Source organism: Homo sapiens, chromosome 14 (genome assembly GCF_000001405.40).
Source record: "Homo sapiens chromosome 14, GRCh38.p14 Primary Assembly".
NCBI classification, from domain to species: Eukaryota; Metazoa; Chordata; class Mammalia; order Primates; family Hominidae; genus Homo; species Homo sapiens.
In genome coordinates this window covers 52,514,645-52,530,057 of record NC_000014.9, presented here as the reverse complement: position 1 = coordinate 52,530,057, position 15,413 = coordinate 52,514,645, and the positions used below count along the sequence as shown (strand labels likewise).

The 15,413-nt window shown below is 36.1% G+C and overlaps 1 protein-coding gene across 5 annotated transcripts in view; it reads left to right on the top strand.

Annotated features, from left to right (window-relative positions):
- TXNDC16 (thioredoxin domain containing 16) overlaps positions 1 to 15,413 on the top strand; it is a 121,910-nt gene that overhangs the window by 22,448 nt on the left and 84,049 nt on the right. For 4 of the 5 annotated variants that reach the window (XR_007064038.1, XR_007064037.1, NM_020784.3 and 1 more), the window contains exons 7-8: positions 10,765 to 10,886; positions 15,088 to 15,178. Coding sequence is in view for 3 of the 5 variants with exons in the window: in NM_020784.3 (NP_065835.2) it covers positions 10,765 to 10,886; positions 15,088 to 15,178 (213 nt within the window). In the remaining 2 variants the exon portion in view is untranslated. The remainder of the gene's footprint in view (positions 1 to 10,764; positions 10,887 to 15,087; positions 15,179 to 15,413) is intronic. The other variant, NM_001160047.2, reaches the window with a different exon arrangement.

Below are 15,413 nucleotides of genomic sequence, written 5' to 3'. Positions count from 1 at the left end.
AATGTATAAATAAATTACATAAAAATAATTATAACATATAATATATAATATATATTATATATATGAATTATATATTACATATTGTTATATGTATTATAATATGTAATATATAATTCATATATATAATATATATAATGTATATTATATAATATATAATATATAATATATAATTCATATATATAATAGGTATCATATTATATATAATAGGTATTTATTATATATAGTAATAATACATAATATATAATAGGTGTCATATATAATTATTATATAATATATACTAGGTATATATATAATAGGTATTATATATAATATATAATAGGCATTATATATAATATATATAATAGGCATTATATATATTATATATAATAGGCATTATATATATTATATATAATAGGCATTATATATAATATATATAATAGGCATTATATATAATATATATAATAGGCATTATATATAATATATATAATAGGCATTATATATATTATATATAATAGGCATTATATATATTATATATAATAGGCATTATATATAATATATATAATAGGCATTATATATAATATATAGTAGGTATTTTTTCTTTTTATTATTATAGTTAAAGTTTTAGGGTACATGTGCACAACGTGCAGGTTTGTTACATATGTATACCTGTGTCATGTTGATGTGCTGCACCCATTAACTTGTCATTTAATATTAGGTATATCTCCTAATGCTATCCCTCCCCCCTCCTCCCACCCCACAACAGGCCCCAGTGTGTTCCCCTTCCTGTGTCCATATGTTCTCATTGTTCAATTCCCACCTATGTGTGAGAACATGCGGTGTTTGGTTTTTTGTCCTTGCGATAGTTTGCTGAGAATGATGGTTTCCAGCTTCATCCATGTCCCTACAGAGGACATGAACTCATCATTTTTTATGGCTGCATAGTATTCCATGGTGTATATGTGCCACATTTTCTTAATCCAGTCTATCATTGTTGGACGTTTGGGTTGGTTACAAGTCATTGCTATATAATAGGTATTATATAGATAATATATAATAGGTATTATATAGATAAAATATATAATAGGTTTTATATAGATTATATAGAATAGGTATTATATAGATAATATATAGAATAGGTATTATAGACAATATATAATAGGTATTATAGATAATATATATAATAGGTATTATAGATAATATATATAATAGGTATTATATATATACACACACACATATATATATATATACCTAGGTATAATATATATACCAGTATATGAAAGATTGATTTTTGCATACTAATTTTGTGTCTTTTGACCTTACAGATTTTTATTATAAATTGAAAAATGAACTAGTTACAACTATTATTAATAATAAACAAAATAGTATTTCACTTATAATAAGGATATTATTACTGTGACTTACTACTAAGCAATTTTTTTGTATTTATATTCTTGTCTTTTTTCTAAGATACTGTTATCTACTATTAGATATGTACATAAGAGCTGTGTATATATATATCATATATAATTCTTCTACATTTACATTTTATTAGTCAGTAAACAGGCAAGTCAAAATTTCCTGGGATTGCCTCCATTTACAAAAATTCAATGACATACATATTAAAATATATTTAACTAGTCAGTTATTTTTGACCTAAATCCAATACTTAGCCTAATTCTTAATAAGGAGAAATATTTACAGATGTTTGGATTGTTCTCAAAATACTTGTCTATGAACTAAAAGCCTGCGTTAGAGAATATGTGTTACTTTATTTGGCTTGCTTTTTAAAAATGTGTAACCCATGCTGTTACTTTTATCCCGAAGCATTTGTGTTGTTCCTTACTTAGAATGTTTTGCTTGAGACCAGTGACCTACAGTTATACTTGAACTTTGCTACTTCGTCAGCAGAAAAGATCATTGTTTTAGATAATTTGTTATCTTCAGAATATGGAATTGAAGAAAAAATTAAGTTAGTAAAATCTGAGATAGAATAACAAGTATAAACTTAGGGTGATCTTTATACTAATTGTTAATATTTGAAACATATTTTTTGACCATTATTGTCAATTATGTACCTTTTTTGGTAGGATATTTACAACACTGCTGAAACATCATTGATTTAAAATATAGTGACTTGTCAATCTATTAAAATTTTCTCAGATTGATTTTGCAGGATGTAGTAAGTGAAATAAATCAAATGGTTAGGGCATAGCATCATACTATTTACATAGGAGAGGGGGTGTTAAGTCCAAAACTCCAAAGAGTCTGAGTTGTTACCCTACTTGTGAGTCTGTGTAATATATATATGTTATACACACATAGAAGACTTCTGAATTAGAGAATTGACCTTACGGCAATAACAGCAGCCAGAGTAGCACGGTAGCGCTATCCTCATACCTAGTTCTCTACTGAATGACAAGGCAAGAGTCAGATGCTTATACCTGTACATAGCAAGGTTTGAAGAATGAGAACTTCAACATTATTAATCTCCGAGTTTATATAGGAGCTGGCACACTTACTCTTCCTCTCTGAAGATAAAGTGCTTATCTTTTACTGTGGAATATAAGAGCAGAAGAGGAAGGCCCCTATCACTAAATATAAGCATTTGACTCTGGGGAAGAGAAGATAGTGTGTGAAAAAAACAAAAATCATTTTTCCTCTGCTCTCACAAAACGTAGAATACTTCTGTGACCAGATGTTTGAGGAGTCTTCTCCACACACCAACTCTGTAGCTGACATCAGCGGGGTGTCCTCTTATTCAATTCTGACAGTACCTACCTGAAGATAGTATCAGATCCTGCATGTGTTGAAGGCCAAGTCCCCAAGACTGCCCCCTACCTGAGATGCCAGTCAGATAGGACAGAAGCTCCTATGCTTTTGTCTGAACAGCTATAAATTGGGGTTCTCATGGCTCCAACAAGCCCCTCGTTGGGCTTGGCTGTTTCTCTAGAGTGGCTCACAGAACTCAGGGAAACAATTATTTACATTTATTGGTGTATTACAAAGAGTATCGCAAAGGATACAGATGAAAAGATGCATGGGGCAGGGCACATGGAAAGGGGCGTGGAGCTTCCATGCCCTCCCCTGGCATGCTGCCCTCCGCTGGCATGCCACCCTTCAGGAACTTCTGTGCATTTTGCTATCTGGAAGCTCTTCAAGCCCTCTCCCTTTGCGGTTTTATGGAGGCTTTGTTATGTAGATATGATTGATTAAACCATTGGCCATTGGTGACCAACTAACCTTCAGCCCCTCGCTCCTCCTCAGAGACTGAGGGTTAGAGCTGAAAGTCCTAACCCTCTAATCATGCCTTGGTCTTTTAGTGACCAGGCCTCATCCTGAAGCTGTCTGCCAGCCATCAGTCAGCACATTAGCATACACAAGACATCAGTTTGGTGGAGATTGTAAGGATGTCAGGAGTTGCATGCCAGCAAACAGGGTTGGGGACCAAATACATATTTTACAGTATCACAGATATGTTTTATTTCTCTTTGAATGGAAGCAGATGGCTCCTGGAGAAAAGGAAACAAGCTTAGAATGGGACTTCTCCATTTTTCTATCTTGCTAGATTTGATCTTCAGGAGATTTGGTCTGTGTAGGAGCACTGGGAGAGCCACACAGGATTTCCTTCTACAGGGGCACATGTAAATGCATGTAGTATACATGTATGTGGCATATATATTACAAGGTTTCACAAAAACTGAACATATTGGTTGATAGGAATGATATGGGGAAGCTGGGGGTGGAGGATGAAGTAGACTCTAACTTTTTTGGTACCTTTTGTGTTTTGAACCCTGTAAAAGTATTACCACTTTGTAAAATAAATGACATTTAAATTAAAAATGAGAATTTGGATTTATAGTCTAAAAATTCTTAACTCTGCCTTCTAAATATACAAAGTGAAAAGTGGTAAAATTGAGTGGTTCATTTACTATGTGAGGAAAATTTTACTTCCCAGCTTCTAGATGGGGTTAAGAATGGTAATACAGTTGGCCCTCCATATTCACAGGTTCTGCATCTGTGGATTCAACCATAAGCGGATCAAAAATATTTGAAAAAGGCAATCAAATATAACAATACAACAGTAAAAAAAATTTTAAATATAATATAACTACATAGCATTTACATTGTATTAGGTATGATAAGTAAGTGATTTAGAGATGATTTAAAGTATACAGGAAGATGTGTGTAGGTTATAGCAGATTCTCTGCCATTTTATATGGGACTTGAGCATCCATGGGTTTTGGTATCCAAGAATCAATCCTGGATATCAATCCCCTGAGGATACTGAGAGATGATTGTATTTAGAAAAGGAAAGTAACAACAAATTTTTATTTATTATTATTATTATTATTATTATTATTATTATTATTATTATTATTTTGAGATGGAGTCTCACTCTGTCGCCCAGCCTGGAGTGCAGTGGTGCGATCTTGGCTCACTGCAACCTCCGCCTCCTGGGTTCAAGCAGTTCTCCTGCCTCAGCCTCCTGAGTAGCTGGGATTACAGGCATGCGCCACCATACCTGGCTAATTTTTTTTTTTTTGTATTTTTAGTAGAAACAGGGTTTTACCATGTTGGTTAGGCTGTTCTCAAATTCCTGACCTTGTGATCCGCCCACCTCGGCCTCCTAAAGTGTTGGGATTACAGGTGTGAGCCACCGTGCCTGGCCCAACTAATTTTTATTGATTGAGAATATGAGCAATTTATATTTATTTTCCTCATTCTTATGTGTTATACTTGCAGCCTCATGAGATTATTGCGATGATCAAAATAACACGTGAAAATAATGTGTTACGGATTTTGCCCAGTGCTCTAAAATGTTATTTATTTTATATATATATAAATGCAGGAAGTTTTATTTATCAGTTAAGAAGAAAAAACAAATGTGAGTTCATGGTGTGGCAGTTGGTGGGGATATTTGCCATGAGGCAGCAGTTGCAATGAAAGGCCATTCTTTTTTTTTAGTTTCGCTCATGTTGCCCAGGCTGGAGTGCAATGGCGTGATTTTGGCCCTGTGCAACCCCCACCTCCTGGGTTCACACGATTCTCCTGCCTCAGCCTCACGAGTAGCTGGGATTACAGGCGCTTGCCACCATGCCCGGCTAATTTTTTGTATTTTTAGTAGAGACAGGGTTTTACCATGTTGGCCAGGCTGGTCTCAAACTCCGGACCCCAGGTGATCCTCCCGCCTCAGCCTCCCAAAGTGCTGGGATTACAGGAGTGAGCCACCACGCCCAGCCCATTCTTCTTTACCTGTACTCATTGTTGATTCCTAAGAATCCTCAGGCCAGGTGAGGTGGCGCACACTGTAATCCCAGCACTTTGGGAGGCTAAGGAAAGAGGATCACTTGAGGCCAGGAGTTCAAGACCAGCCTGGGCAATACAATGAGACCCCAGTCTCTACAAAACGTTTTTAGAATTTAGCCAGGCATGGTGATGTGTGCCTGTTGTCCTAGTTACTCAGACTGAGGCTGAGACAGGATAATGGCTTTAGCCCAGAAGCTCGAGGCTGCAGTGAGCTATGATTTTGCCGTTCAGCCTGTGTGACAGAGCAAGACCCTCAAAAAAATAAAAATAAAAAATCAAATGATGCAAAAGAAAAAAATCATCAAATGATGCAAAAAGAAAAGATAATCCAGTAAGAAACAGTGAAATCTCATTAACTCTTTATTAAGATATGGTACTACTTCTTGTGACAATACTGTATTTTGTCAGAAAATAGAAATTCCTTTCCCTTTATGTTAACATACTACTCATAACATGAACTTCAAGTATTAGAAGAATTATTTTTAACTGTCATAGTTTCCACTAATATTTTATTCTTTAACACATTATTGCAGAGCGTAAGGATTGAGTGTTTAGGCATTGTTACTGTAGAACCTCGGGGGAAAGTTACTTTTACAGCTGTCCTCCTCTAAAACTCCTGAACTGTGCCCATGCTGTTCTCTCCTGAATAGGCATTGAGCGATTGCTCATTCTTTTATCTGTATCAGATTTGTTCCTACACAATATTGTCAGGTGGGTTCCTGTTCGATAATGACATACTTTTTACTGGGAAATTATAAGAAAAAATTGCTTTTCTTGGATTTGAATTCCTCACAGCTCTGTTAATTGGTATTAATGGTTTTATCTCCAAACTGCAAATTTTTATACAAAGTGCTTCTATAGTACATATGTGGTACATGACATATATTAGGTGCTTAAATTTTGGATTTGTGGATGATGAATTTGGAAGTTTTACTTTTTGGTTGTTAAAAATGGGAAGATCAGAAATACTCTTAAATTTTAAGGTCATAAAATTATTTCTAGTAGTAAGAATTTTATAAGAAGCAAGCTATTAGGAGAATATATAATTTATGACAAAAGACTAAGAATGATATTTGTGAACTTTATTATTGTACTCTCAAGAGGTGGCTTCTACCTGTTTGGTTTGTTTTTAATCTATGTTAATTTAGAAATACTTATTAAAAGACTTTGGGATATTTCTTTTTATATGTGAATCTGCCCAGTCATAATACACAGTAATTAATTTAGATAAAAGTAATTTATTTCTCTCTGTCTTTTTTTTCCTGGGGGTTTTGGTATGGTAAAACATTTACATTTTCCTTTTTGTTGTGTTCTAAGAATTTGAATGATGACAGAAATGTAATACAAAAATTGTCTGTATCTCAGAAAAGATTGAGTTGCTTGCTGCTCTAAAAGTAGGGTCAGGTAGACCCTTTGTTGTTTTTCTTTCTGACACCCACTCAATTCTTGACCAAATATCTTATCCAACTAATAGTTACTGCAGGAAAATCTCAGGAAAAGCATGCCAAAGAAAATGAAGGCCTTTCTGGGACAGGAAGAACCTAGTTAGAGCAGCCCCAGGCTGTTTTACCCCATCAACAGAGCAAGAAAATCCCAAGAGAGACTTTTCCTTTAACCCATTTTTGTCAGTATTTCTCCTCTTTGGAACTGGAGTAAGGGAGCACAGGCTGTGGAATGGATCCTCATATTCTGAAAATGAATATATTAAGGAATATATTAAAGTGAGGAAGCCATTGGGAAAAATCATAGGGATCATTACATTATGAATGTCATTAGTTTTGGTTATTATTATGTCATGGATAATGACTACTTAATGAGCTTTGGGACATTAGGCAGGGTAACCTCTTTAAGCCCCATGAACTTATCTTTAAAATGGGGTTAATGATAGTTCTGCTTTCAGATGGTTGCCATGAAAATTAAACAAGACAGAGTGCATTGCTGAGGGTTTTTAGTTATAAGCCCTAGAATCTGGGTCTGACTGGCTTAAGCAGAAAAGGATTTGGAGTGGATATAGGAAATCTCAGCCTTGATAGAAGGGCTAGAGAACTGGACTCAAAGGTTAGACAGCTCTGCATACAGTGAAAATTATGACACAGAGTGGGTCTGAGGAGGACAGCTGCATTATTGCTGAGCATTGGATACTACAGCTTGCACTACCTGCATTGGGGCTGTGACTAACAATTGTCATTGCTACCTTTGAAGCCAGCTGTTACTGCCGCTGCTTCTTGAAATAATTCTTTACTGTTCCTTGTTCTTGGTATCGCCTGCCCCTGCTTCAGAATCTCAGGCAAGTGATTCTTTGTCAGATAGTCATGCCTTGTAGCAAGGAGCCTGGGAAAGCAAGGTTGATAATATCAGCTTTCACTTGGGCTCTGCCTACCTTGAAGACTTAGAAAACTGGACAAAGCAAAAGGGAGTGGGCAGCCCCCAAATTGATAAATTGCCACTATTTATAAAGTGCTTAGTACTATGCCTGGCATGTGGTAAGTACCTAATAAATATTTGCCAGTCTTTATTGCAAACAATGGTTGGGGAGGGTTGTATACTCAGACTTAATTTTTGAAGCAAACACGTTGGAGATAATAAAACAATAAAAGTCATGACTAGGTGAATGTAATTTCCAAGCCTAGAATTTACATGGTAGTCCAATTAAGTTAACTAGATTGTACCTCCCAACTGTTTTGAAGTAACTGAAGAGTGATTCTGGACTTGTTAGCCAAAATGTATAGGCAGCCAATAGCTCAGCTTGCCACTGAGACTCCATTGCCATTCTTTAGTTGCCACCTTTCCACCTGGTTTCCCATTTTTATAAGTGGTCAGTAATATAATTTAGAAAATCCTGGCCTTGGTGTCAGAAGCTCTGCCAGCAACTAGAAGTATGATTTGGAGCAGGTTACTTAGTCTCTCAGATTGTTGCCTGTGTGTGAATATGTGTGTAATACTGTTCCAGAAGTATTGTTGAGAGGTTAAATGAAAACCTGAAAATACCTAGCACATAGTGAATACTGCTCAGTAAGTATTTCTTATAAAAACAAAACAAGAGCCCTGGGAATGATAGAAGATCAAGTTTTACATTTCTTTTAAAAAGTGGAAGAAATCTGTAATGAATGGGTAAATATTTAAGCCAGCATAATTTAGGACAGTGCTTTCAGGGTGCCCACTGAGTGGAAATATTTTTATAGTAATACTAAGGCATTATTTGGCTTTTTCACTTTCATTCCCTCATGAATTGGGGTTCTAGAGGCTACATGATGTGTGATGTCACAACAGATTAGATACAGGAGCAGAAATGAAAATCCAGCTGTCTTCTATTTAGTCCGAATTAAAGATATTTGCAAAAATGTAAAACAAGGCCAGGCGCAGTGACTCACGCCTGTAATCCCAGCACTTTGGGAGGCCGAGGTGGGCGGATCATGAGGTCAGGAGTTTGAGACCAGCCTGGCCAATATGGTGAAACTCCATCTCTACTAAAAATACAAAAAAAAAAAAAAAATAGCCAGGCGTGGGGGTGCACGCCTGTAGTCCCAGCCACTCGGGAGGCTGACGCAGAAGAATCACTTGAACCCAGGGTGGGGAGGTTGCAGTGAGCTGAAATCGTGCCACTGCACTCTAGCCCGGGCGACAGAGCAAGACTTCGTCTCAAAAAAAAAAGTAAAACACCATTCTTCTCACTAAGTTTTCCTTTGGTTTTATAAATTATAGTTTTTTTTTAAATAAAAAGTATTTATGTTAACATGTAATGATGTTTATTTTTAAAAGAGTTAATAAATATTTTAAAATTCCTATTTTAATTCCTATTTTGGCAACTATTGATGAATATAACTTACATAAAAGCTCCTTGAGGACCTCAATAAATTTAAAGGATATAAAAGTTTCCTGAGACCAAAAAGTTTGAGAACTGCTGTATTAGGAAAAACTTTATAGGAGGAAATGATGTTTGACTAATTTATTTGAAGTATTTGAGTGAACCTTTGTTTATTTAAGTATGTGGACCTGCAACATGAAAATTTTGAAAAGTTTTCAAAATTTTTTGAAGTTTAGCCTATCAAAAATACATACTTATGCACATGGGGATTAAGTGGAATGAGTTGTTAGGGGTAGAGAATTTATATAGAAGTAGACAACTTTATTTATTTTTATTTTTATTTTATTTCATGTTTTTGAGACAGAATCTCGCTCTGTCGCCCAGGCTGGAGTGCAGTGGCGTGATCTCAGCTCACTGCAAACTCCTCCTCCCGGGTTCATGCCATTCTCCTGCCTCAGCCTCCCGAGTAGCTGGGACTACAAGTGCCCGCCACTGCGCCTGGCTAATTTTTTTATTTTTAGTAGAGACGGGGTTTCACCGTGGTCTTGATCTCCTGACCTCGTGATCCGCCCGCCTCGGCCTCCCAAAGTGCTGGGATTACAGGCTTGAGCCACTGTGCTCGGCCAGAAGTAGACAACTTTAAAAAAGGGATAATTTTGGATGAATAAATATGATCAGTCTGATTTATACACTGAAAGGATGATTCGGAAGAATTATGGTCAAGTGGAAAGATTACTGGACTAGGACTGAGAACACCTGTTCTGTATTCTGTCCCTGGCTTCTTGATTCAATAAATGCGTTTTTGAGTAAACTCTTCAGTGTTTTGAACTTCCATTTCTTCAAATAAAGAATGGGAGTAAAATTCCTGCCCTACTTTTTCTTTCATTCATTCAATAAATGTTTATTGAATATAGTGTACTAGGCTGTATTATAAGTTTTTACAGATATAGTGATAAAATATGCAAAATCCTTGCCTCAAGGGCATGAGGGTTTAATGAGAAAGGTGGAGATAAGTAAATAAATATATAAATAATTATAAGTTGTAATAAGTACTATAAAGGAATCAACTACTGAAATGAGAGGAAAATGCTACAGGCTTACTTACACAGGACCAACAGAGAAGACTTCTCTGAGGCAACGATGTTTAATCTGAGATCATACTTATGAAATGGAGCAAAAGGAATAGCTTCCAGCAAAGAAAACTGTGTGCAGAGGCTCTGAGGTTTGCCTAGAATGTTGTAAACATGAGGAATGGTAGAGCAAAATGAGGTTGGAGAGGTAGACAAGGTCTAGGTCTTGTCAGACCTTATAGGCCATGCAAAGAAGCCTGCTGTTTAGGTTTGTGAAGGGCTTAAATGTGTTCAAGGCTGAGAGATCTGTGTGGGAATATTTGGCCAGACTAGGGTGTTAGTGAATACAGTTTTAATCTGTTGAGACCGTTGTAATACATAATGAACATTGTCTCACAACTGTCCCTGGTTGATGTTCTCAGAGACAGATTAATGATCTGGAGAGTGATTCTAATTTAGTATTATTAAAATGCTTACATTATTACTACTGATAATTTATTCAATGGAGATATATTTCTCTTTTGGTTAGGTTCTTTAACAGAAGTGTGGTGTAACTAAATACATATCAGATTTTTCTACTAATTATATCTGTATTTATTTCAGTGCTCTTCTTTTTAGTGAAGTGAAATATATTACCAACCTGGAAGACCTTCAGAACATAGAAAATGCTCTGAAAGGAAAAGCAAATATTATATTCTCATATGTAAGAGCCATTGGAATACCAGGTATTCTTTAACTTTTGCTTTAATCTTTGCTGTGCCTCTGTACTTATGTATGTTGAAGTACTTAAAATAGTGTATTTTTTTGACTACAGTCGTAATATTTAAAATAAATCTAAAGCATCTTTACTATTAAGCTATTTTTCTTTAAATGGGCAGCGTAATACAGTGGTTGAATAAGAACTCTCTAGGTTAGACTTTCTGCCATACTGATTATTTGTAGTGAGCCCTTGGACAAGTTACTTAACTTCAGTTTCCTAGTGATTAAGATGGGGAAAATAAATTGTGCCTACCTGTTAGTGTAATTGTGAGAATCAAATGAACTTTAATGAATAATTAAAATAAATTATTTTAATTAAATAATTAAATGAATAATTAAATGGTTCCTAGAGTGTAGTAGGTACTCTGAAAGTGTTAGCTATTTTTTTTTAATTTCCTTATAGCCCTCCTTTACCTGGTATAGTAGTTTCCAGTATTCAGTAAATAATGTTGACTAACTTAGATTGGAAGGAGCAAAGATAGAGTAAGGGAGAAAAATAGGAAGTTATTGCAATAAGTCAAGCAAGAGATGATGCTGGGTGGCTTGGACCAGGGTGATGGCAGTGGAGGTGGCAATAAATTTGAATTTTAGCAGTGTTTGGGAAGTAAAGCTAACTGAGTTTGCTGATCTATTGGATATAGATTGAGAAATAGTGGAGACAAGGTTGGTTCTGGGGTTTCAGCCTGAGCTACTTGAAAGTTGAATTTGCTAGCAACTGAGGTTCAGAAGACTGGGAATAGATAATTTGGAGAGGAAGCTCTTGGAATTCACTTTTTGACATCATACTTATGAAATTCCCAAAAGACATTCAAATAGAGATATGAGTATGGTAGTTGGGTATTACTAGACTGCATTTCATGTTGGGAGTATGGACTAGGGAAGTAAATTTGAGAAATAAAGTTGTGAGACCAGAAGAGATCACTGAGTGAGTCTAGATGGAAAAGAGAAGACTGAACCTATTAGATACTTCAACATTTATGGATCAGTAAGGTAAGGATGAACCAGTAAAGGAGACAGAATGAATGTGGTAGAAGTGCCCAGTAAGCAAGGTAAAGATAGAGTTTTAAGGAAGAGAGCAGGAACAATTGTGTTAAATGATGCTGAAAGGTTGATTTAACGTCAGAAGTGCCAAGTGGCCATTATGCCTACCTAGCAGTATAGAAGTTACTGGTGACCTTGACAAGCACAGTTTCTGTAGAGTGGTAGGGGTTTAATGCCTGATAGGAGGGATATAAGACAGAAGAGGTAGAGAGCAATTGAAGGCCGAACACGGAGACTTGTTAGAAAAGTTTTGCTATTGGGAAGGAGAAAAACGGGGCACTGGCTGGAAGAATATATGGAGTTAGGAGAATAATTTTTTGAAAAGCATATTTGTATGTTAACGAGAAAGATGTGGTAGGAAAGGGGAAATGCCTCACACAGGAAAAAGGGGGGAGTTGGTGGAGCAAAGTTTTCGAGTAGGCAAGAGAGGATGGAATGTAGCGAACAAGGGCAGGGGTTGTTCTTGGGTGGGAGCACAGAAGGTTCATCTCTGGTAACCAGAGGGATGAGAAAATGCGGACATCCATTCAGCCAAGTGGGTGGGTAGATATGGTGCTAAGAGTTTATAAACGTTTTTTGGTTTGTTTTTTAATTGGTTGTTTGTTCTCAGTGAAATAGACACAAAATCATCAGCTAATTTGAGGGAAGAGTTGAGAGAGCTATTTCGGAGGCCTGGAAATAAAGAATGGTTGTTAGGCAGCAATAATAGTTAATATCAGCAATTTAAAGTGACACCATTAGCTTGGTGATGCTAGCTTGTTTTGGCTTCCCTCCCCCTCTCCCCAGCTATGTTTCCTTTTGCAGCTGTAAGTATTGAACAGGCTGAGCACTGAGTTAACCTGGATTACATTTTTTAGCCTAAAAAACGGGGCAGGGAAATTATTATAAAGATTGACCAGGGAATTTAAGCTTAATTAGAGGGAAAGAGAAGACCAGAGCGGGAGGACCTATGGATTGTAGGTCTTGATGGGTTAGAGTTGTGTGCTATACAGAGTGAGCTGGAGATGTGTGTTTGTGTGGGGGAGGAGGGAAATTATGGAGGGGATTGCGTTAATTGGTGATTGCAAGGTGTAGAGTTAGTGGTTAAGATATGATTGAAGAAGGATGACTGGAATAAAGAAGGCCAAGGCCTGAGAGGCTGGGATTTTGAAAGGATGATCTACCTGGATAATAATAAAATTCCCAAGGATTATGACAGGAGTAGTACTAGAGAGAGTGACAGTGTGACAGAAGCTAAATTCTTCATGGAATGACGGGAAGTGATCCTGGCTGGGGTGTTTTGGGTGACTCCAAGGTAGGGTGGTGAGTGGAATGATCTGATGATATGCAGTTCAAGTGCTAGGAGAGTATGTGGGGGATGGGAAGATAATTGTCTGGAAATGACAGTGAGGAGAAAAGGGAAAATAAAACCTGAAAAGGAGGAATCATCAAAGAAATACTTCAAGAAAATTTCCCAGAACTGAAGGATTTGAGCTGCCAGATGGAAAGGACCCATTGAGTCCCAGCATAGTGGAATACCACAGAGCCACACTAAGACGTCCTATTTTGAAATTTTAGAATATTAGATAAAAAGACTACTCTAAAATCTTCCAGAGAGGAAAGAAGAGTTTGCAGTTCAAGGATTGAGAATGAGAATAGCATCGAACTTCTTAAATTGCTGTACTAGAAATGGAAGGAAATGGAGCAGTGTTTTCGGAATTCTCAGGGGAAATGGGAAATGACTAGAACCTAGAATTCTGTACCCAGCCAACTATAGTTAATTTTGAAAATAAAATTAAGATGCTTTCAGATGTGCAGGACTGCAAAAGTTGTCTATTCATATGTCCTCTCACAGGAAGGTGTTAGATAATGGGCACAAGGAAGCAATAAAGAAGACGATATTGGATAACAGGCAAAAAGGACCCAACACAAGAGAGGGAGTAAGAGAATCCTCAGGATGGCAGTTGTGCAGCAGGCTAGGTAGCAAGAGTTCATATTGGAGCAAATCAGAAGGCTCTGCAGAAATGTTTACAAGAAGATTGATTTGATAGTATACTTGATATATTTGAAGTATTGAGAGAGTTAGAAAATTGTGGAAGAGTTTAGGAAGAAATTAGAAAAGAAAAACAAAATTTTTAAAAAGATAGTTAAAACTATAGTGAAGAAGTTTCTCAAAAAGGGAAAGTGGCCATTCTGTACCATATGGCTTCTCTGCAAATAGTATTTACTGAGTCAACAAAGTAATACTGATCTAATAAAAGTTAGAACTATATTGGGAGAGTTGGGATGGGATATGTTTACATTTGTGGAGCTGAGTTTCAGGAAAGAGATGATTTGTCATCTTCCACAGTAGGAAGTCAACAGATAATACTAAAACTCTTATTATATATATTAAGTTATATATGATACACACACACACACACACACACACACACACACACACACACATATGTATGAAATAAAGAGTTGAGATAAAAGAAATAAGAGAAGAAGAAATGAGTTGAAAGTGCTTGTCCCTTGGGAATTGGAAATGCAGTAGAGGGTGGGGGAGTGGCTATTAATATGCCTTGTAAAATTATTGTTTTCTTTCAGTGTAAGTTTGATTAAAAAAAACTAACCCAGAAATAACATACACAGACACATACACAAAACCTAACATGAAAGTTGTATGGTGGATTCATATTCTCTTCCCTACTACTGGAAAGAATCTACCACAAGTTTGTTGTATATTATATGCCTTGTAAAATTATTGTTTTCTTTCAGTGTAAGTTTGATTAAAAAAACTAACCCAGAAATAATATACACAGACACATACACAAATAAAACCTAACATGAAAGTTGTATGGTGGATTCATATTCTTTTCCCTACTACTAGAAAGAAACTACCACAAGTTTGTTGTATATTATATTCTCAAGTAAAAACTCATTTTCTACTCCCTCTGAATTCTTCTCTTACCTTGAATAGAATAGACTTTTTATAACTTCTTTTAACTGCCTGCATTTTCCCAACTAGTATCCCTGTGAAGGATTTTTCTTTAAATATAGTAGAACATAAAGGAGTGTAGGATAATATTCAGAATAGAAGTTTACATAGAGTCACACAAACTATTTTTTCCTGTCTTCCAACTCCCTTTATCTCTTCTTCAGAGCACAGAGCAGTCATGGAAGCCGCTTTTGTGTATGGGACTACATACCAATTTGTCTTAACCACAGAAATTGCCCTTTTGGAAAGTATTGGGTATGTATAAAAAGCATATGTCAACAATTTAAAGGTTTTTTTTTTCTTCTTCACTTATTTCGCATTACTTAGCATTTCCATTATGCTCCCACAGCATGGGCTTAGATAAAGGAACCATAGCAGATGTGAATATATAAATGAAACCTGAAATCCCCTTTATTACTATAGTCTGCTGTATTACAGTCTTAAAATATACCGAAGTGATGTTAGACTAAGGTAACGAAGGCAGTGTGGA